General features: G+C 36.6%; 1 protein-coding gene across 7 annotated transcripts in view, besides 5 other annotated features; it reads left to right on the forward strand.

Moving 5' to 3' along the window:
• The window catches only part of PKN2 (protein kinase N2), a 151983-nt gene that overhangs the window by 82653 nt on the left and 46708 nt on the right, over window positions 1–22622 (forward strand). For 4 of the 7 annotated variants that reach the window (XM_047425224.1, NM_006256.4, NM_001320707.2 and 1 more), the window contains 5 exons: window positions 3427–3544; window positions 4496–4641; window positions 4738–4954; window positions 17714–17899; window positions 19179–19288. In XM_047425224.1, coding sequence (XP_047281180.1) covers window positions 3427–3544; window positions 4496–4641; window positions 4738–4954; window positions 17714–17899; window positions 19179–19288 — 777 coding nt within the window. Of the gene's footprint in view, window positions 1–3426; window positions 3545–4495; window positions 4642–4737; window positions 4955–14060; window positions 14237–17713; window positions 17900–19178; window positions 19289–22622 lie in introns of those variants that run through there. The other 3 variants (NM_001320709.2, XM_017001782.3, XM_011541772.3) reach the window with 3 other exon arrangements.
• Window positions 6621–6915: an enhancer, noted in NCBI's record as "tiled region #874; K562 Activating DNase unmatched - State 15:Elon". NCBI's record gives its function as "activates a minimal TATA promoter and a strong SV40 promoter by Sharpr-MPRA in K562 cells {active_cell/tissue: K562}" and the evidence as "EXISTENCE:reporter gene assay evidence [ECO:0000049][PMID:27701403]".
• Window positions 7057–7654: an enhancer, noted in NCBI's record as "OCT4-NANOG-H3K27ac-H3K4me1 hESC enhancer chr1:89239665-89240262 (GRCh37/hg19 assembly coordinates)". NCBI's record gives its function as "activates a minimal SCP1, AML or CMV promoter by ChIP-STARR-seq in primed H9 embryonic stem cells {active_cell/tissue: H9 hESC(primed)}" and the evidence as "EXISTENCE:reporter gene assay evidence [ECO:0000049][PMID:30033119]".
• Window positions 7057–8334: a biological region, named in NCBI's record as "MED14-independent group 3 enhancer GRCh37_chr1:89239743-89240942".
• Window positions 7135–8334: an enhancer, noted in NCBI's record as "MED14-independent group 3 enhancer chr1:89239743-89240942 (GRCh37/hg19 assembly coordinates)". NCBI's record gives its function as "activates an origin of replication core promoter dependent on BRD2, BRD4, P300/CBP and CDK7 cofactors, and independent of MED14, by STARR-seq in HCT116 cells {active_cell/tissue: HCT116}" and the evidence as "EXISTENCE:reporter gene assay evidence [ECO:0000049][PMID:35650434]".
• Window positions 7655–8250: an enhancer, noted in NCBI's record as "OCT4-NANOG-H3K27ac-H3K4me1 hESC enhancer chr1:89240263-89240858 (GRCh37/hg19 assembly coordinates)". NCBI's record gives its function as "activates a minimal SCP1, AML or CMV promoter by ChIP-STARR-seq in primed H9 embryonic stem cells {active_cell/tissue: H9 hESC(primed)}" and the evidence as "EXISTENCE:reporter gene assay evidence [ECO:0000049][PMID:30033119]".

The raw sequence follows: 22622 nt of genomic DNA on the forward strand, positions 1-22622 counted from the left end.
TTAAAATAAAATACAAGTGCTGTTTCTTGCATGTTGAATTGAAATAGTGAAGAAAGGAGTATTTCCAAAGAAGTAAAATGATGGAACTACTTCATTTTGCATGACAATAAAATAATAAAAGAAGTAGCTTAATTGAAGAGAGTAATATTATATGGTTTACTTAATATTTATACATTTACATTAGAACTTCATTGGAATAAGACACTTAATCATTATTTTTATTGTCCTAAAAGAGAACATTTTAATGCCAATTATGTGCTAGGCAAGATAATTTTAGTTTAATGCTTACAAAAGTTTTATATTTAAGAGAATGGTATCACAATTTACATAGTTTATGCAAGAAACCTAAGGTTTTCAGAAAATAGGTAAATTGTCCAAGTTTATATATAATAAGATTTGGGCTCAAATCTGACTGCAAAATACATTTGTCCCATTAAATTATGAGCTTTGGAATACTTTTACTCTAGTCTGATCTCAAAGAAATTCATTCATGCCTTGCATTACAACAGGGATACATTCTGAAAAAATCATCAGTGGGTGATTTCATCATTGTGCGGGTATCATAGAGTGTACTTACACAAACCTAGATGGTACTAGGCTACATGGTATAGCCTATTGCACCTAGGCTGTAGTAACAGCATGTAACTATACTGAATACTGTAGGCAATTGTAACACAATGGTAAGTACTTGCATATCTAAATATATCTAAACATAGGTATATGTAGTCCGTTGTTGACCTAAATGTCATTATGCAGCAGTCTGGCCAGAAGCTATTTGCTAAATGACTGACTTTGGGAATACAAAAGAAATAAAAGAAAAATTTATAAATTTCATAAATATGCAATTATTTTTTCCTCCATGGTATATTAACCTGAGTTTGGTATTCAGCAGGGTATATTTCAGCTCACTTTTATTCCCCTTATCTCCAATCTCTTTCTTCTTTATTCAGTGTCATATAGTGTGTGTTTGATTTATTGAAATAATACTGCCGTCATCAAGCGTGTCTCTTGGGTTCTAAGAGACATGAATCTCCAGGAGAATACAGGTTGATTGTGTGCTATTTTATCCAAATTAGTACTGATTGCCTTAGTGATTAAAAATAGAGATGCTTAAATAATATGCAAAGCTTCTCCTTTCTTATGAATAAGTGCTTTCTAACTTGATGCTTAATCAATTTGTGTGTGTATGTATGGATGGATACCAGTCTTTAACAATTAATGCAACTCTAAAAACAGGAAATGGCATTAACTTCTGATATTTCTTTTTAAAATTTCTTAGTTTTCTACAGTTGCTGTAACAAATTATCACAAATTTAGTGGCATAAAACAACAGAAATTTATTATAATTTTGTAGTTATTTTGTCTGAAGTGAATCTTAGCTTAAATCAAGGTGTTGGCAGGACTGCATTCCCTTCTGGAGGATGTAGGGCAGAATGTTTCCCTGTTTTTTCCAGCTGCTGGAGGCTACTCACACTTCTTGGCTCCTGACTCTCTTCCTTTGTCTTCTAAGCTAGCAATAGCAGGTCCAGTTTTTCTCACATCCCATCACTCTGACCTCTTCTTCCTCTCTTTTCTACACTTAAGGACCCTTGTGATTACATTGGGCCTATCTGGAAATCAAGGACAATCTCTGTATTTTAAGGTCAAATGATTAACAACCTTAATTCCATTTGCTACCTTAAATCTCCCTTGCCATGTAACGTAACTTACCAACAAGATTCTGAGGCTTAAGACATTGACATCTTCGAGTAGGTCATTATTTGGCATATAATTCCTTCTGTCACTCACATTCAGTGTTACTGGAACTAAGCAGAGGTATGCTCTTGCATTGATTCATTTGTGTTGCTGTAAAGGAATATCTGAGGCTGAGTAATTTATAAAGAAAAAGGTTTATTTTTGGCTCACAGTACTGCAGACTGTACAAGAAGGATGGTGCTGGCATGTGCTTCTGTTGAGGGCCTCAGGAAGCTTACAGTCGTGATGGAAGATGAACGGCAGCCAGCTTGTCATCTGGTGAGAGGGAGCAAGAGAGAGAGGAGGAAGTGCCAGGCTCTTTTGAACAAACAGCTCAACAACCAGCGTGAACTCATAGAATGAGAACTTACTCATACTGTGAGGGTGGCACCAAACAATTCATGAGGGATCTGTCCCCGTGACCTAAATACCTTCCAGTAGGCCTCGCTTCAGACACTGAGGAATTACATTTCAAAATGAGATTTAGAGGGACAAACATCCAAACCATATCAGGCATTAACATTATTTCACTTAATTCAGAGCTTTTTTTTGAAATCTTAAGATATAACAGAAGTGTTCTCCAGCTTTATTAAGAAGGTCTCATTTTTTGACATTAAAGTGTTTCTAGGGACCTTTCTCATTGTCACCAGGGTTGACAAATGCTGTTTTCTACCTTTCTTAGCATAATTAATTGGAACACAATTGCTATCTGTGATTAGGTTTTTAGTTTAGGTTTAATCATGGAGGCATTTATTTCATACTATGTTTCTGAGTCTTAGAGTTATTGATCATAGTAAAGGAAAATTCTTTATGTTTTGTGTAAAGCAAAAATAAGAAAATTACAAATGTGAATTTGGATTTTGATTTTCTAAAAGATAGTAATAAGATTCAAACCTACAGTATCTGTTAGCAGATAAATGGATTGTGCGATGTATATATATATGTATATACACAATGAAATATTGTTCAGCCTTAAAAAAGGGAATACTGCCATATATGACAACATGGGTGAGCCCAGAGGACATTATGCAAAGTGAAATAAGCCAGACACAGGAAGAAAAATACTGTATGATCTCACTTACCTGTGGAATCCAAAAAAAGCTGAATAAATAGAAACAGAGAGTAGAATACAGTTACCAGCAATAGGGAGGAAGAAGAAATGGGGAGAAGTTGGTCAAAAGGTACATACTTAGAGTTAGGTAGGATGAATAAGTCCAGAGGTCTAATACATAGCGTGAACTATAGTTAATATTATATACTGAAAATATGCTAAGAGAGTAAATTTTAGGTACACATAAACATACACATGAAAAGGGGTAACTGTAGAAGGTGATGGGTCAGTAAATTTGTTTGCCTGTAATAATCATTTCACTATATGTATGCATACCAAAACATCATGTACACTGCAAGTATATACAATAAAAAATAAATTTTAAAAATACACAGCCATAATAAGATTTCCTTTTCTCCCAAATTGTCTTAACTAATGGAGTTGTTTTTCACAATTATCACCCTGTAAGTTTGATGGCTCTTTTTTAGTAAATGTATCTATAAGATATACTATAGCGCCAACAGCATTCTTTTAACTCTGTTTTTCACTTGCTGATATATCACTTGATCTGTTTAGAAGATAGGAAAATGTTTCATTTTTCCCTTTATTTGCTTAATTTTTCAAACTTATTTTTTTAATAGGATCGGAAACTCCATGGTACAGCTCAGCAACTGCTCCAGGACAGCAAGACAAAAATAGAAGTCATACGAATGCAGATTCTTCAGGCAGTCCAGACTAATGAATTGGCTTTTGATAATGGTGATGGAATAAATTGTCCTCCTTCTTATGAGCATAATGGTGCTAAATAATCTTATGCAGGAACAGGGCAGTGGTTCAAAGTTAAGAGGGAGGAAGCATTACTATTACTTTTTTTTTTTTTTCTTTTTTTTTTTGAGACGGAGTCTCGCTCTGTCGCCCAGGCTGGAGTGCAGTGGCGGGATCTCGGCTCACTGCAAGCTCCGCCTCCCGGGTTCACGCCATTCTCCTGCCTCAGCCTCCCAAGTAGCTGGGACTACAGGCGTCCGCCACTACGCCCGGCTAATTTTTTGTATTTTTAGTAGAGACGGGGTTTCACCGTTTTAGCCGGGATGGTCTCGATCTCCTGACCTCGTGATCCGCCCGCCTCGGCCCCCCAAAGTGCTGGGATTACAGGCGTGAGCCACCGCGCCCGGCCCTTTTTTTTTTTTTTAATCTTGAGTTTTAGACTCTTCACTTGGATAGATGCTTTTAGATATTTGGCCCTTATGTTTCAAGAAGATATTGATCTAGAATGTATCTCTTCATTTAAATAGATTATCAAGTACTTACAATCAGTCTTCATTTAAAAAAAAATCTGTTACCTGTTTAAGAGTATGGCTTTGTTTTCTTTTGTTTTTTTGTTTTGTTTTATTTATTTTTTAATTCCAGAAGAAATCTTTAAAGCTAGTTGCTAAGAGTAGGAGTAGAAACTTTCGGTCTCCCCATGTTACAATATTTGGATATCTTTCAGCTCTAAAATCTTTTTTTCAGATTTGTAATTTAGATGTGTAATGACAAAAATGAAAGGCTCTGAATTTCAATATCATATCAAATATTTTTATTTCAGTGTTTATTGATGTAAGGACTAAGTTATTGTAATGTTATAGGAATTCATTTCTTTTCATGATTTTAATCACTGCAAATTGGAAAGTCAGATAAATGGTGCAATTAAAATTTTTTTTTCCTTTCTAGCAAAACCTGTGATAAGTCCTCTTGAACTTCGGATGGAAGAATTAAGGCATCATTTTAGGATAGAGTTTGCAGTAGCAGAAGGTGCAAAGAATGTAATGAAATTACTTGGCTCAGGAAAAGTAACAGACAGAAAAGCACTTTCAGAAGTAATTTTAAATAAAAATTTTTATTTGGTTTAATAAATACATTATTCAAAGTATGTGATTATTTAAATGACAACAATTGTCTTTTCCCTGTGCAAGGCTCAAGCAAGATTTAATGAATCAAGTCAGAAGTTGGACCTTTTAAAGTATTCATTAGAGCAAAGATTAAACGAAGTCCCCAAGAATCATCCCAAAAGCAGGATTATTATTGAAGAACTTTCACTTGTTGCTGCATCACCAACACTAAGTCCACGTCAAAGTATGATATCTACGCAAAATCAATATAGTACACTATCCAAACCAGCAGCACTAACAGGTATGTAGTGTATAGCCATTGTTTTTTGTGTGTATTTTTGTCTATAACTGGTTCTGATTTAATAATTGAAAGAAAAACCTGTGCATAGATTTTTAAAATTATGATAAGATACACATAGAATAAAATTTGTTGTATTAACCATTTTAATTTTATTCAATTTGGAAGCATTTGCTATATTCACAATATTGTGTGACCATCACCACTACCTAGTTTCAAAGCATTTTCATCACCCCAAAAGGAAACGCATACCTGTTAAGCAGTCACTCCCCATTCCCCCTTCCTCCCAGCTGCTAGCAACTACTAATTGTCTGTCTCTACAGATTTGTCTATTCTAGATTTGTCATATGATAGAAATTATATAATTTGTGACCTTTTTTGCCTGGCTTCTTTTACTTAGCATATTGTTGTCAAGGTTCATTCATGTTGTAGTATGTATGAGTACTTCACTCACTTTTAATGTCTGAATAGTATTCCACTTGTGGGAATATTCTAAAATTCAAAACTTTTTGTGCACCCAACATGATGCTCAAAGGAAATTCTCATTGGAGCATTTTGGATTTGGGATTTCAGATTTCCAGATTAGGGATGCTTAACCAGTAAGTATAATATAATATAAACATTCCAAAATCTGAGATACTTCTGGTCCCAAGGATTTCAGATAAGGAATACTCAACCTATACTATATTTGATTGACCTATTTGTCAGAGCATATGAGTTCTTTTTACCTTTTGACTGTTGTGAGTAGACTGCTATGAACATTTACGTGCAGGTTTTTGCTTGAACATCTGTTTTCAATTTGGGGGTATATTCCTAGGAATATAATTGCTAGGTCATATGGTAGCTATATCTAAGATTTTGAGGAACTGTCAAACTGTTCTTCTCAGCATTTACATTATTTTATACTTCTAACAGTAATGTATAAAGTGGGTTTCAGTATCTCCAGATCCTCACCAACAGTTAATATTTTTTTTCATTCTTCTTTGATCGTGTTCTAATAGGTCCATTATTGGAAGTATGGTAATATATCTAACTATGTCTGTAGAACTGTCTGTATTTCTCCCTTCAGTTATGTAAATTTTTGTTTCCTATATTGTGGGCTGTTTTGCTAGGTTCATGTATGTTTACAATTTTTATATCTTCTAGACGGATTGACTCCTTTACCTTTACCTTAACTCCTTTATAATGTCCTTCTTTGTCTCCTATAACAATATTTAATTTAAAATCTGTTTTGTCTGATTTTATAACAGCTACCCCTACTTTGTTTTGGTTTTGTCTTTGGGTTCAAATGAGTCTCTTTTAGATTATATATTATTGTATTCTGTTTTATAAGATCCATTCTGTCAGTCTTTTTTTTTTTTAATTCATTTTTATTGAGACAGAGTCTCACTCTCATTGCAGCCTCCCACTCCCAGGTTCAAGCAATTCTTGTGCCTCAGCCTCCCGAGTAGCTGGGATTACAGGCATGTGCTACTGCACCTGGCTAGTTTTTGTATCTTTAGTAGAGACAGGGTTTCACCATGATGGCCATACTGGTGTCAAACTCCTGGCCTCAAGTGATCTGCATGTGCCACTGCACCTGGCTAATTTCTGTATTTTTAGTAGAGACAGGGTTTTACCATGATGGCCACACTGGTTTCAAACTCCTGGCCTCAAGTGATCTGCCTGCCTTGGGCTCCCAGAGTGCTGTGATTACTGGTGTGTGCCTCCACATCTGACCAGTGTTTGCTGTTTATTTAATAGTTTAAGACAGTTATCCAGATGAGGTTGCATGCACCTGTAGTCCCAGCTACTTGGGAGGCAGAGGCAGGAGAATTGCATGAGCCCAGGAGTTTGAGGCTACAGTGAGTCATGATTCCACCACTGCACTCCAGCCTGGGTGACACAGCAAGACTCCGCCTCTAAGAAAGAAAGAAAGAGAGAGAAACATTTAAAGTAATTACAGACAGGATGTAATAATCCTGGTGGTAACTACTGAGAGGTAGGTTAAATTTAATAGGTTTGTAGCACAGTCCCCCCACAAAACTGCCATCACTTCATAAGCAAGCAGCAAATTTAGAGTTTCCAAGGCTACATGCACTCCTGACCAACTGTCTACAGATTCCAGGATTTCTACTAGCATCTCAGCTCAGTAATTTGCAGGAACAAATCATAGAACTCAGGGAAGCACTATACTTAGGATTACGTTTTTATTATAAAGGATACAAATTAGGACCTTCATGGCTCACTGCAGCGAAAAGAAAATAAACATAAAGGGGGAGATCTGAGAGGATCTCAAACACAAACCTTATGTGTCCTTAGGATATATCACCCTCCTAACACATCAATGTCTGTCACCAACCAGGAAGTTCACTTGAGCATTGGGTGTGCAGAATTTTCATTGGGGCTTTGTTAACATAGGTGTGATTGAGTGAATCATTGGCCACATGATTGAATTCAATCTCCAGCCTTGTGCCCCTCCCTAGGTCAGGAGGTCAGACTGATAATGTGGCTCAAAGCCTCAACCTCCTGAAGATATGATCATTCTTTCTGGCATGGCCAGCCCCCATCCTGAAACTGTCTAGAGGCCCACCATGAGTCACCTTACCAGGTGTGGTCTAAGGTATCCACTATGAATAACAAAGGCACGCCTATCACTGGGGGAAATTCCAAAGGTTTAGACTTAGAGGCTGTCTTCCAGAAACCAGGGACAAAAACCAGCCAAATTATATACAACAAAAGGGCTTATTTCTGTCATTTTGCGGGTTTTTTTTTTTATGCAAGTGTTTATCTTTTTTTCTCTGAGTTCTAGTACTACCTTCTTTTGGTTTTGATTGAATTTTTCTACTCTGTTTTTATTTACTTATTTTTGAGACAGGATCTCTCTTTGTTGCCCAGGCTGGAGTACAGTGGTATGATCATAGCTCACTGTAACCTCAAACATCTGGGCTCAAGCAATCCTCCTGCCTCAACCTCCTGAGTAGCTAGGAGTACGGGAACGTGCCACCACACCTAGCTAATTTTTAGTTTTTTGCTAGCAATGGCGTCTCACTGTGTTGCTCAGGCTTGTCTCAAACTCCCGGCCTCAAGTCATCTTCCCACCTCAGACTTCCAAAGTGTTGGGATTATAGGCGTGAGCCACTATGCCCAGCCTCTATTCTTACTTTTCTTATTCCCTTCTTGCTCCCTTTTATGAGATAGATAGATATATATATTCTCCCACCTCAGCCTCCCTAGTAGCTGGGAGTACAGGTGCACACCACCACGCTCAGCTTATTTTATTTTTTTTGTAGAGATGGGGTTTCTCTGTGTTGCCCAGGCTGGTCTTCAACTCCTGGGCTCGAGCAATCTGTCCACCTTGGCCTCCCAAAGTGCTAGGATTACAGGCATGAGCTACTTATGCCTGGTCTTTCACTAAATCTTGAACTCCTCGCAACCACTCACCTCACTTCCTCCGTAGTTTTGCCTTTTCCACAATGGTCATACAGTTGGAATCTTAACAGTATGTAGCCTTTTCACATTGGTTTCTTTCACTTAGTAATATGCATTTAAGTTTCCTCTATGTCTTTCCATGCTTTGATAGCTCATTTTTGGTTTTGTGCTGAATAATACTCTATTGTGTGGATGTACCATAATTTATTTATTCATTCATTTACCGAAGGACTTCTTGGTTGCTTCCAGGTTTTGGCAGTTATGTATCAAGCTGTTATAAACATCCATGTGCGGGTTTATTATTTTCTTAGTGATTACCCCAATGATTATAACTAATGTCCTAAATTTATTATAATCTTATCTTTAGTAGCCTACAAAAAACTCTTTGACTGTGCCCTTGTTATATTGTCACAAACTCTCTTTATGCACCATATACCCATTAACATAGGCTATAAATATTGTTTTATGCATTAGTCTTTTAAATCATAAAGGAAACAAAAAGAAGAGTTACTTAAAATACAGAAATATTGGCTTCTGGCCAGGCGCAGTGGCTCACGCCTGTAATCTCAGCACTTTGGGAGGCCGAGGCGGGTGGATCACGAGGTCAGAAGATCGAGACCATCCTGGCTAACATGGTGAAACCTCATCTCTACTAAAAATACAAAAAAAAATTAGCCGGGCGTGGTGGCAGGCCCCTGTAGTCCCAGCTACTCAGGAGGCTGAGGCAGGAGAATGGCGTGAACCTGGGAGGCGGAGCTGGCAGCGAGCCGAGATCGTGCCACTGCACTCCAGCCTGGGTGACAGAGCGAGACTCCGTCTCAAAAAAAAAAAAAAAATACTGGCTTCTATATTTACTTATGTAGTTAATTTTACCTGCGTTTGTCTTCCTTTTTTCCTTTCTCTCTCCCTCCCTCCCCCTCCCCCTACCCCCTCCCCCTTGCCCTCCCTGACACTGCCCCCACCCCGCCCCACCCGTCACTTCTCCCATCCTTCATTTCAATCTAAAAGGCTTCTTTAGCATTTCTTATGGGCGGGTCTCCTAGTGTCTACCTCCCTTAGCTTTTGTTATCTAGGAATCTCTTTCTTTTCTTTTTTTGAATGATAGTTTGGTATATATATAGAATTCTTGGCTGGCAATTTTGTTTTTTTCCAGCACTTAAAAAAATGTCCAACTAGGCACAGTGGCTCACACCTATAATCCCAGCACTTAAGGAGGCCGAGACGGGTGGATCACTTGAGGTCAGGAGTTTGAGACCAGCCTGGCCAGCATGGTGAAACCCCATCTATACTAAGAATACAGAAATTAGCCAGGCATGATGGCGCATGCCTGTAATCCCAGTAACTCAGGAGGCTGGGGCAGGAGAATCGTTTGAACGCGGGAGGCGGAGGTTGCAGTGAGCCAAGATCATGCCACTGCACTCCAGCCTGGGTGACAGAGTAAGACTCTGTCTTAAGAAAAAAAAAAAAAGTCCTCCTGCTTCCTCCAGGCCTTTATGTTTTGTGATGAGAAATCCACTGTTAATGTTACTGAGGATCCCTTGTAAGTGATGAATTATTTTTGTCTTGTTGCTTTCAAGCTTTTCTTTGTTTTTTCACAGTTTAATTATAATGTGTCTTAGAGTGGATCTTTTTGAATTTATTCTACTTAGATTCTTTGAGCTTGATGTGTAGGTTCTTGTCTTTCATCAGATTTGGGAAGTTTCCAATCATTTCTTCAAATGTTCTTTCTTCTCCCTCTGAGACTTTGATTTTTGCCTACATTGGTGTGCTTTATGGTATTTCTCTTAGACTCTGATTTTCTTCATTATTTTTTCTTTCTGCTCTTAAGACTAGACAAGTGCAATTGATCTACCTTCAAATTGGCTCACTTTTTCTTCTGCCTGCTCAAATCTTGTATTGAACCTCTCTAGCAAATTTTTTCATTTTTGTTATACTTTTCAATTCCAGAATTTCTGTTTGGTTCTTTTTTATAATTTTTAAATCCATATTGATGTTCTCTATTTGTAGACACATCACTTTTCTTGTTTCCCCTAGATATTTGTCCATGGTTTCTTTTAGATTTTTGAGCATCTTAATTTAGTAAGTCCAACATGTCTTGACTTCCCCAGGGTCAGTTTCTGTTAATTTCTTTTTTCTGTGAACTGACCGTATTCTGTTACTGTGCTTGCTTCATAATTCAAGTACTTCATTTCCTTAGTATACTTACTCACAAATCAGATTTTACTCTTTCCAAAGATTTCATTTTTCTGCTATATGTTGAATGTAGTTGTTTGCCTAGTAACTTTTATAATCTATTTTGTAGAGACTATTCTTTCTCATGTATTACCCCTGAGGTGTCTATTTCATTAATATATTGTACACCAAAATAAAATTCTAAGCCACCCAACTAAATGAATGGACCCCCTCCTCTCAGCCAATGGCATTCTAAAGTAAACCTGAAACACTAGTTCAGGTCGTGCTGGGAATGGGTGGTTTGGACATGCCTCATTATGCCTTCCTCCCTTTGGAATTCAGGTACTGCAGACCAGCATTAACATCAAAACAGAGACCTTAAGACTGACTGAACAGACTCTTTCAGTAGATAAGAAACATTTACAGTCTCTTCTTTCTGAAGCCTGCTATCTGGAGGTTTCATCTACAAAATGAGAACCTGGGTCTCCACAACCCCTTATCTTAACAGCACTCTTACAATACTCCCTTGTATTGATTCCAGGTCTTTAGATAAACTCTTTCTACCAGTTGCCAATCAGAAGATCTCTGAATCCACCCGTGACCTGAAAATCCCTACTTCGAGTTGTCCATCTTTTCTGGACCCAACTAATGTACCTTTTACATGTATTGATAGATGGCTTATGTCTCCCTAAAATGTACAAAACCAAGCTGTAACCCAACCACCTTGGGCACGTGTTGTCAGGACCTCCTGAGGCTGTGTCACGTATATCCTTAATCTTGGCAAAATAAACTTCTAAATTGAGACCTGTCTCAGATACTTTTTGGTTTACTATATAGTCATCTGGTGTTTCAACAGACATTTCCTTTAATTCCTGAAGAAGAAAAGATTGCCTAGTCTTTGCAGCTGGGCCCTGTGCTTGAGCACTCACCCAGACACTTTACAACTCTGCATTTGCTTTGTGCAGAGCTTGAGAGTCAACCATAGGTTAGAGCTTAGGGTGTTCTCAGATCTCTTCCGAGGATGCCTCTTGCTTGCACCTAGCCTTCTAGTTTCCCAATAATATGTAGAAGCATTGCAAAGTCTTTTATTCTCCAAAGCATTTCCTCTGCTAGCTTTTCCTCCCAGTTTCTTTGGCTTTTCTATTGTTTACCCCAACTGATCCTCTTTTTCCTTAGTTTGCAGAGACTGGTTCATTTGCCTTCCATTGTTTTTGACAGATGCCCTCCACTTAGCTGTTTCTCTGCCTTCAAAGATTTTCTTTTTTTTTTTTCGAGACAGAGTCTCGCTCTGTTGCCCAGGCTGGAGTGCAGTGGCGTGATCTCCGCTCACTGCAAGCTCCGCCTCCTGGATTCACACCATTCTCCTGCCTCAGCCTCCAGAGTAGCTGGGACTACAGGCGCCCAACACCATGCCTAGCTAATTTTTTGTATTTTTAGTAGAGACGGGGGTGGGGGCGGTTTCACCATGTTAGCCAGGATGGTCTCGATCTCCTGACCTTGTGATCCGCCCGCCTTGGTCTCCCAGAATGCTGGGATTACAGGCATGAGCCGCCGCGCCCAGCCAAAGATTTTCTAGTTACGTGAAATAATGGCAAGCTGTTGGTGTTAGTATTTTAGGGAGCCCTCAGACAGGTCAAAGCAGGTGACCACAATTATTTGAGAAAAAGATCTTCTCTGCTCCCTCCTTACAGCAGGCTGCCATCTTCAATACTGCCCCCAAGGTATTGGGAGTGAAGGGAGGGATGAGGCAAAGGTAAGTGAAAACTCCACAGAGCTCTCCGGAGTGTCCCTTGCTTTTTGGATTTTGATTAAACATTTGCTTATTTGTAGTAAACCTTTGAATGTTTTCCAGAGTTCTGATAAACTCAGTTCTGAAAGTTTCTGTCAGTTTCTTTTTCTGTTTCTGTGAAGAGACTGTCTTTGTACTTTTTTTTTTTTAGGATTCATTACATATATCTTTTTAAAAAACAATTTCACAAGGCCAGATTTATTAAAGGAATATACTTTATTCTGCAATTATGTCCATCCTAGATACTAGATACTATGTGATCTGATCTGTACCACATGAGGACCTTCTTACTCCATCATTTTCTCTGACATCACCTACAAAGGCTTCTTTTTTATGGACCATGTGAATATGACATATTTTTGTTACACAGACTTTCCAGAATCCTTTAATTTTCTTATAAATATTAATGCCAACAAACCTTAAAATTTTTGAGGTTATGAAAGTGTTCTTCAATATTGCATAGCATACTATCACATTCCGGTTGTTAAAGAGTATCATTAATCAGTTTTATTCTGTGTTAAACTTATACATCAAAACATGAAGGACAAATTTACAGTTAAACTTCGCTGTTGCCACTAATTAGGATCAGTCTAAATGTGCAGTTCACAAATTGAGTGCTTAAATCTGAGGCAACCTGGGATACCAAAGTGAATTCACAGGGCCACATCAGGATTTTGTTTTTGAGGGATGCACAGCATTATCTGTACTTCATGTAGTCACCATTCAGACTACTAGCTCAAGGTAGTTACAGTTTCAGGGTTAGGTGGAGCTACATTCCTTTCAGTGATGTTGTGTATTTATGAAGCTGGGTTTTCCTCAATTGCTGTGATTTTGGTTTTTTTAAAGTGCTGTGTGAAATCAGTGTGGAATAGGAAATCAGTGTGGTAGTTTCCAAACTGATTCCAAAGCTTTAGAGTTATACAGTGCCCAAAAAGAAGTAATCTTGCTTAAGAATGAAATGAAAATACTTTTTCTTTTAGTTATATGTATTTTTTTTCAAATAGCTATTAATTTGTTAGGAAAGCAATCATATCCTATGTTTGGACCTAACTGTTTAATCAACAAAACTATAAGGTATATCTTTTGGCCTAGGGACACAGTTAAAAAATAGTTTAATAAAACATTAGGGCACCATGAACTGAGAAAGCTTGGGAACCTCTGATCTAATTCTTTCATATTGATAACTATTTATCTTTCCAGTCATATCTGTGTAACTCCTATCATGAATATTCTGTCATAAACTGGTTTGTGCCCAGTGCCTCCCCTACCTTGCTTAAATGTCTTTGCCTTAGTATTCATCTTCTTATATGTATTTTTAAATCAAAACTGGAATATAGACCTGTAAAGAGCAAAGACCTTGTCATCTACCTACATATAATCCTAGCCTCCAGCACAGGATATTTGATACATTCAACAAGTACTTGGTAAATAGTATCTGACAATTAGGCAGGGACTATACTGCAGGCAAGGACTGTACTTATTGTCTGCTAAGTTTCACCACCTTTTGGCTCAATGCTGAACACATTGTTGATACTCAAGCATTTCTGAATGATCCATTGATTAAAATAAGGTTGTCAAATATTTTGAATAACAATATTTCTAGAAAAGTAATAAAATCACATTTTAGAAACTCAGCTGATAATGACTGGAAATTTTTTTCCTTTTCTATTCTAGTCTCCTGTTCCCTCCTTTCAGTTCCTTCTTCCCCTGTTCCTCATTCCATTACTGAACTTTACTCAAAGTTATATAAGTCACCAACCTAAAAAGAAGTATCTTACAATTCTTAAGACATTTTTAAAAAATTCTTTAAGCTCCTACTGGACCATAAACTAAATTTTAAGTAACTAGGGAGAGAAATACTACTGACATTAATAGAAGACTACACATGACGAAAAGATGAACATGGATGAATAGTAAGAGCATTTGCTGTTCTGAATTTTTCACTGCATGCTATTATTTGTGGTTCGTCTCATACTCCAGTTTCTTTTGTGGTTGTATGATTATACTACTGAAATTTGCCAGTTTGTTGCTACTTTGAATAAGGTATAATTGTTTTTTTGTTGTTTTTTCTCCATGTTTTGAGAAATTTACTAGTTTTTTATAAGAGGATATTTCTGCAGAATTAAAAAAAGTTGCCTAATCATACCATGATGAAATACTGAATTAGTGAAATAGGTATAAAATAGTTTTCCAGACAGTTGAAAGAAAATTTTTAAAGCATTTACTTGTTCTAATGCAATTCATAGTTATTACTTCTGAATACCAACATTTACTTCTTGGATTTGCTTGTTTTAAAAATTTCATATTGTGCTTTATGAATGTAGTTTTAAGCTATTTCTAATGTGTTTATATGCAATTGTGTCACCTCATAAAGAAACTTCTAGATGTTTAATAAAGAACTCCCTCTAGATTTTTTTCCTAAATGAAAGCAGGTGTTGAGCATTGTCATGTTCTGATGTATTGAAATTGCTAAAATATTTAATAAGCTACCATAGTTTGAAGTAGTAGCCAGATGTTTTCAGTTTCCCCAGGATGCATTTTACAGTTGAGCATTTACAGTGGAAGTTAGCTAAATTTGCCAGTTTAACAACAACAAAACAAATAAGAAACACAAATTTTTTAACTCAAAATGATATAATTAATGTGTTATCACTGTACAGTAAGATAAGATTTCCACAGTCTAGCAAAACATTATTGACACTCCACCTCCCAACGTTAATAGCCTTATTGAGGTATAGTTTACATACCATAGAATTCACTCATTTTAAACATACACAGTATGATTTTTTTAGTAAATGTATATGCCTATTTCACCATCATCAGTAATCCAGTTTTTAGGGCAGTTTTATTGGAGGAATAATTGACATACAAAAACTATACATATGTTAAGTGTATGGTCTTGCTTTCATTGTTTTGCATGAGAGATCTCCTGCCATCTTAATCTTTGTTCCTCTCTACGTAACATGTTTTTTTCTGGCTACTTTTAGTGTTTCTTGTTCACGACTTGTTTTGAGAAATTGGATTATGGTGTGCTTTAGTATGGCTTGCTTCTGTTTCTTTGTTTAGTGTTCTTTGAACTTCTTGGATACTTCTTGAGTTTATACTTTTCATCAAATGTGGAGAATTCATGGCCTTTTTTTTTTCTAATACATTTTGTGTCTCCGATTCTTTCTGCTCTCTCTTAATGAGGAATTTCAGTTACACATATATGGCCACTTGAAGTTAAACTCACAGTTAATATATGCACTGTTCTTTGTTTATTCTCAAGTCTTTCTTTAGTGTCTTCTATTTTTGATAATTTCTTTGCTGTGTCTTCAAGGACACTAATCTTTTCTTTTGCAATGTTTAATCTGCCTGCAGTCCCATCCAGTGTATTTTTTTTTTAATCTCAGATATTGCCATTTTTTAATCACTAGAAATTTGGTTTAAGTCTTTTTCATTTCTTCCATGTGTCTGTGCCACATTTTCAGTAGATTGACTGTTTTGATGTCCTTGCCTTCTAACCCTAACATTTATGTCAGTTAAGCCACTAAGCTTGTAATAATTTGTAACGCAACCATAGAAAGCAAATACACCTGGTAATCTTTGAGTAGATGCAGACATTGTGAATTTTACCTTGCTGGATGCTGAATATTTTTGTATTTCTATAAATGTTCTTGAGCTTTGTTCTAGGACACAGTTACTTGGAAACAATATGACCCTTTTGGGTACTGCTTTTAAGATTTGTTATGTGAAACAAGCATCATTTAGTTTAGGGGTAATTATTCTCTACTGCTGGGGCAAGACTCTTCTGGATATTTTCTTCAGTGCCTCATGAATTGAGATTTTCAAGCCTGGCTGGTGGTAACAAACACTATTCCTACCTATATGCACTGAGTATTGTTCTTTCTAACTTTTTCAGTGGGTTCTTTCCCCTGCCTCAGATATTTTCTTCATAGGCAGGTGCTGATTAGTACTTTGATGAATACTTGAAAACCCTCTGACCATCTCAGGAGTTCTTTCTATGAACAGCTTTAACTGCCTTGTGAACTCTAGCTGCTTTGGTTTCCTTGTACTCTTATTTCTGTCTCTTCAACTTGGCTCCGCCTGAGTTTCCCCCTCCCTGCACTGTGTCCTAGAAACCCTTAAGACAGTAAGCTGGAGCAATCTTAGGGCTTATCTCATTTGTTTCCCATCTCTCAGGGATCACTATTCGTCTTTAACCTTTTTCATATATTTTGTCTGATTTTCTTTTTTTGGTAGTTTGAATTGGGAAGCTTTGTTTGTTACTACTTGGATAGAAATATATAAGTACTTCAGTGTTATTAAAAACAATTTAAAACTTTAAGTAAAATTAAGTAGTTATTTAAATTAATGGGACAACTTTTACCAGAAATATTCCTCCTAAAATGTTATTCATTGTACAGTATCTAAAATGTTAATACGGAAGCATTATTTAAATTCTAGTATACTGTGTCTAGCCCAAATAATGACAAAGCCATATATCCAGAGGACCTAACTCATAGTTCTTTATTTTCATTTTGAACACCTTTAGTATTTATTTGCCTAAATAAATTGAAGTTATTTTATGTTTAATTACAACCCATGATTTTTTGGCTAATTAAACTAACAGAATGGAAAGATAATGTCATTTTACATCAAATAGAACACATTTATTTAGTTATACAAAAACCCTGTAAAGTTCTTTTCTGTGTTAACTACGTAACTATTAAACATAGTTGGTATTCACATAGTGAGACTTCCTTATTTCCAATTTTTATGTGCCATTTTAGTGGCATATTATTTAGCTTTATGTTTCTCCTCCCATACCTCTACCAACATAGTTTATGTAACTTGTTTTCTTTTATGCCCTCTATACAGACAACTTTTGGGAGATGCTGTTCCTTTTTTTTTTTTTTTTTTTTTTGGAGAGAGAGTCTTGGTGGAATGCAGTGGTGCAATCTTGGCTCACTGCAACCTCTGCCTCTTGGGTTCAAGCAATTCTTGTGCCCCAGCCTCCCGGATAGCTGGGACTACAGGCGCACACCGCCTCGCCCAGCTAATTTTTTGTATTTTTAGTATACAGGGTCTTGCCATGTTGCCCAGGCTGGTCTCAAACTCCTAAATTCAGGCAATCCACCCAAAGTGCTAGGATTACAGGCGAGAGAGCTACTGTGCCCAGCCAGGAGGTGCTGTTCTTTTCTATAAAATTTCTTATAGTTGTCTAAAGAATTTGTAATGGTTTCTCTAATTAAAATAGGAAAGATGATAGCTACCTCATAGATCCTCTGGGAGAAGAGTTTTTGTTACCAGATTTTTTTTTTCTTTTTTTGAATAGGTAAGAGATTTAGATTAAGGATTCCATAGATTAAGGGTTGATGTTCTTATCTGATATTTATGTTTGCCAACAGGTACTTTGGAAGTTCGTCTTATGGGCTGCCAAGATATCCTAGAGAATGTCCCTGGACGGTCAAAAGCAACATCAGTTGCACTGCCTGGTTGGAGTCCAAGTGAAACCAGATCATCTTTCATGAGCAGAACGAGTAAAAGTAAAAGCGGAAGTAGTCGAAATCTTCTAAAAACCGATGACTTGTCCAGTTCAGTAACCAGATTTTTAAAAATCATGTAACAAACTAAAGTGCTTATACAAGGGATTTATGAAGTGTTCAAGTTGGACAAAACACTTTAAAATTATGGTTTTTATAATTTAATTAAAAAATATTAAAACCTGTGATGTCAGGAAACAAAAAGGCAACAAATTCTGTTTTGTTGAAGATACATTAGAAAACTTAATGACAAATGACATTAGTTCTTTTGGAAGAATGAAATATTGAGCATCACTCTTATGCCAAACTGAAGGTATACAGAAGCTATGAGACTGGTCCTTCTTGTAGAATCGTATCTTGATTCTTTTATTTTTCTTTATTTTTTGAGACAGTGTTTTGCTCTGTTGCCCAGGCTGGGTGCAGTGGTGCAATCAGGTCTCAACCTGCTGGGTTTAAGTGATCCTCCTACCTCAGCATCCTAAGTAGCTGGGACTATAGGCATATGCCACCATGCCTGGCTAATTTTTTTTTCTAGAGGCAGGGTCTCACTATGTTGCCCAGGATGGTCTCGAACTCAGGGGCTCTAGCTGTCCTTCCACCTCAGCCTCCCAAAGTGCTGGGATTATAGGTGTGAGCCACCATCTCCAGCCTTGATTCTTTTAATGGTTTAGTGACACTTTAATAGTAACATTGAAATTTTGGTAATCTAACTGCTGATCCAGACGTGTTTACTGAGATAGTAGCCTGGTAGTCCACTGAGATGGGGGATGGTAGGGGTTGGTTTGAGGAGAGTAAAATGCAAGAGGTTTGGAAAGCACTGGGGAGAAATTCTGAAGTATAAGCATAAACTATATGTAGATGTATAACTGGGGGGAAAAGCATGTGACAGTTCAGCCTACCGTAGAATACAAAAGTGAATTTGCCTGTGCTTTCATGTGTATAGAGAGAGGCTTTAAGAAAAATAAGAAAATAAGGAATTGTTTAAGGAAACAAGCTCTATAAATATAAGATATAGAAAGAAAAACTGATTGATATTCACACAAACAGTGTGGCAAACAACTACTATTTATCTGTTCTTTCAGTCACATGCCAATGTAAACAAAAGAGATAGCAGTCACTATTTGTGTTTTTGTCAAACAATTTGGGAGTGTCTAGTAGGAGTATATGTATCTGTAAAACTAGCCATTTAAGATTCAAAAGTTTTAATATTGATTATGAAAAACTTTATTTTCAAAGGGTCTTAAGACTTTTATTGCTAATCAAACAGCAGTACTTCTGTTTTTTATAAAGGTTTAAAGTTTTTAAGCAAGTTTGTAAATTTTAATTACAGATGATGTCTGTGCTGTTTTGAAGCTCGATAATACTGTGGTTGGCCAAACTAGCTGGAAACCCATTTCCAATCAGTCATGGGACCAGAAGTTTACACTGGAACTGGACAGGGTAAGAGGACTAACATTTTACTTGAATTTTAATTATAATTCATTTTAAATGTGAGTTATATTTTTTAGAAGGCTTCAACAAGTTGTATTCTTAACAAGAATAAAAATAGAACTTAGATTTTTTTTTTACATTTCTTATTCAATGAGTTATGCATAAATCTACCTTAATATAGAGATGAATATCAGATTGCTGTAGGATCTTTCATTTGTGTAGTAATTTGAAAATGTTTCATTCATAGCAAACTTAAAGATCAGTAAGGTGTAATATTGAAGCATATTGGTGATCTTAATGCGCTAACAGCTAAGGCGATTCTTCTGGCTCACCATGTGTAGGTTATCTTACTCGAGCTATATTTGAAATGAGCTATTAGGCTTGGTCACCCAGCCTTCTGTGTGTTTGTGTCTTTCAAGAATAATTTGAATAGCTAGAATTCAGTCTGTGGCCATAGAACCCATCAGAAGTTAACCTGGTCCACAGTAGATTTAAATCCATAGTGGTAACTTTTAGATTCAAGTCCATTCATTGGGTTGTGAGAGGAAAATATTAAAACGTAATCGTAATTTTATCTAAAAACTAAGAAAGATACTAAACTTTTTTATTATTTGGTATTTAGGTTGATGGTATATATGTTATTCTAAAAATTAATTATGTTAAAGCAGATTTACAATGCTTAACTATGTGTGCTCTCAAAATGTTTTGGTGATTACTGTTCTAAGCCTCTACTTTTAAAACTGGGAAAGCATTCAATTTTAATTCTTTCCCAGTTTTAAAAGTAGAGGATAGAACAGTAATCACCAAAACATTTTTAAAGCATTCAATGTTTTGCAGTCTCTAAAGTGGAGGTAGGAATGTAATACTCACAGAACTGTTAGGATGAAAAACCAAGAGTAGTATATGTAAAATACCTTGCATTGCCGGTACATTTAAGCCATTCAGGGATATTCTTTCTTTTAACCTGGGGTTTGAAGTATGGCTATGAATTTGAATATTATGAAAGGGGATTTGAGAATGGAGAACTACCTGGTTGAATGTCATTTCCTTTCATTTCGAGCCTATTTAAGGTAATTACTGAGTAATATCAAAATGAAACTTAAAGAATTGTTATTAGAGGGAAAATGACTAGCTAGGAGATTTTTCTTATAACAAGGTTATTGTTAATAAAGTTTTATATTGAAAAGAGAAATTACAAGTAATTTAGAATCTTGCCATTATTTTGTAGTTGAGGAAACCAAGATCCAGGTTAGTTACATACCAGTAAATTTCAGGACTGGTACTAGACCTTCAGTGTCTTAACTTTTAAATGGATGCTCTTTTTCTCTCTGGTGATTTGAATGAGATAGAAAGATAACAGTAGCACAGAGGAGGAAACAGCAGAAGATGAAGAGTGCCTGGAAGAGATAATATGGTTTTAAATTACCTAAACTACAAGCTTAGAACAATAAAAGACTGTGATAACTGTTATTTGTTCTTTCCCTGCCATTGTAATCTTCACCTGAAAATGTTTTTCGCCTCAATGGCATCAGGCATTTTTCCCACTTTGGAATAATGCTCCTTTTAAAATTTGGAAGACATTGTGCATGTTAAGCAGGTCCTCTAGGTTCTTGAGAGGCATCTTTCTTATCCCTAATTTGATTATAAACTTTTCCTTGGCAGAAACCACATTCCCTATTAAAATAGGTCCTTCTGTTTACATAGTATATTTTACATTTTCATGTGCTTTCTATTCTTTTATCCTTTGTATTTATAGACTATAAAAAATGTTTATAAAAACATAGATGGAAACATTTCAAGCGGCCTTAGTAAAAAAGAGAAGAAAAAATTTATAGAAAATGTTGCTTTAAACTGACATGTTTGTTTCCAGCATTTTGCCTCATATGTCAACTTTGTCTTCTATGGCATTCGGGAACTAAGTCGTCTGTACTGTTTCATTTCAAGATAAAAAATTCATGGTTCTTTTTAGAGTTGTAGGATAATTCTAGAAATGATCTAGATCTAGAATGATCTAGAAAAATTCAAATTATGTTCTGTGGAGCTTCAGTGTTCTGCAGAATTGTCTCAGGACGCAACACAGTCTTTTGTGTTGTTTTGGGATTTTATGTAAAATATCATTTGGATTTTGCTATTAGAAAAAACGTTTTTAAATTGTTGGTATAATTTAGCTCCATTTTACAAACTAAGGAAATTATGGCCCTCAGGCTAAGTAACTAGCGTAGGGTATAATCCAGGATTTTTTTTTTTTCTTCTTTCTTGAGATGGAGTTTCGCTCTTGTTGCCCAGGCTGGAGTGCAATGGCACAATCTCGGCTCATCGCAACCTCTGCCTCCCAGGTTCGAGTGATTCTCCTGCCTTAGCCTCCTAAGTAGCTGGGATTACAGGCATGTACCACCACGCCTGTCTAATTTTGTATTTTTAGTAGAGATGGGGGTTCTCCATGTTGGTCAGGCTGGTCTTGAACTCCCAACCTCAGGTAATCCACCCACCTCGGCCTCCCAAAGTGCTGGGATTACACTCCTGAACCACCGTGCCTGGCCTAATCCAGGATTCTTAATGAAGTCTACTTACTACCAGCTCTGTGTTCTTTCTATTCTGTCGGGTTACTCTTTTATATTTTCTTGTAGCTATGCAATTTTTCATTTTTCCTGAATTCCCTCAGCCTTCCTGTTATAAAAAGCTTAATGAAGCTCCCATGAGAGATTGAAATAAATGACAAAATGTTACACTAAGACCTGTTAACTCTTTCCCTTGCACCTTTCCTTTAGAATAACGTTACTAACATAGTAGTAGAAGTTCTTTATCAATATTAGAAACAGAGAAGAGCCCTGTCCTTAGAACCAAAGCTTAGAACAATTTTAGCAGATTTCAGTGTTGTTAAGAGCAGAACTATAGAAAATGTCGACCGATCACTGGGAAAGGAGGGAAAGAGAGTATAGAAGCAGTTAGGACAAGTAAAAAGGTGGTAGGATTCATGGATTGGGACTAACAGTGGGATTGTCATATCAGTGGATGTTGAAGTATTAGAGAGAGTGAACTAGAATATTAGGAGATAATGTTCAGAGAGAAAGATGCAGACAGTTGAGATTGTGGAAGGATTATAGTTACTGGTATGACAGTATGATGACAGGAGTGAAACGGCAAGGTAAGGCAAGTCACAAGATTATAAGAAGTTAGCCGTGTGCAGTAGCTTATGCTTGTAATCCCAGCACTTTGGGGAGGCCGAGGCGGGCGGATCTCCTGAGTTCAGGAGTTCAAGACCATCCTGACCAACATAGTGAAACCCTATCTCTATTAAAAATACAAAAATTAGCTGGGTGCAGTGGCAGACGCCTGTAATCCC

Source organism: Homo sapiens, chromosome 1, assembly GCF_000001405.40.
Source record: "Homo sapiens chromosome 1, GRCh38.p14 Primary Assembly".
Lineage (NCBI taxonomy): Eukaryota > Metazoa > Chordata > Mammalia > Primates > Hominidae > Homo > Homo sapiens.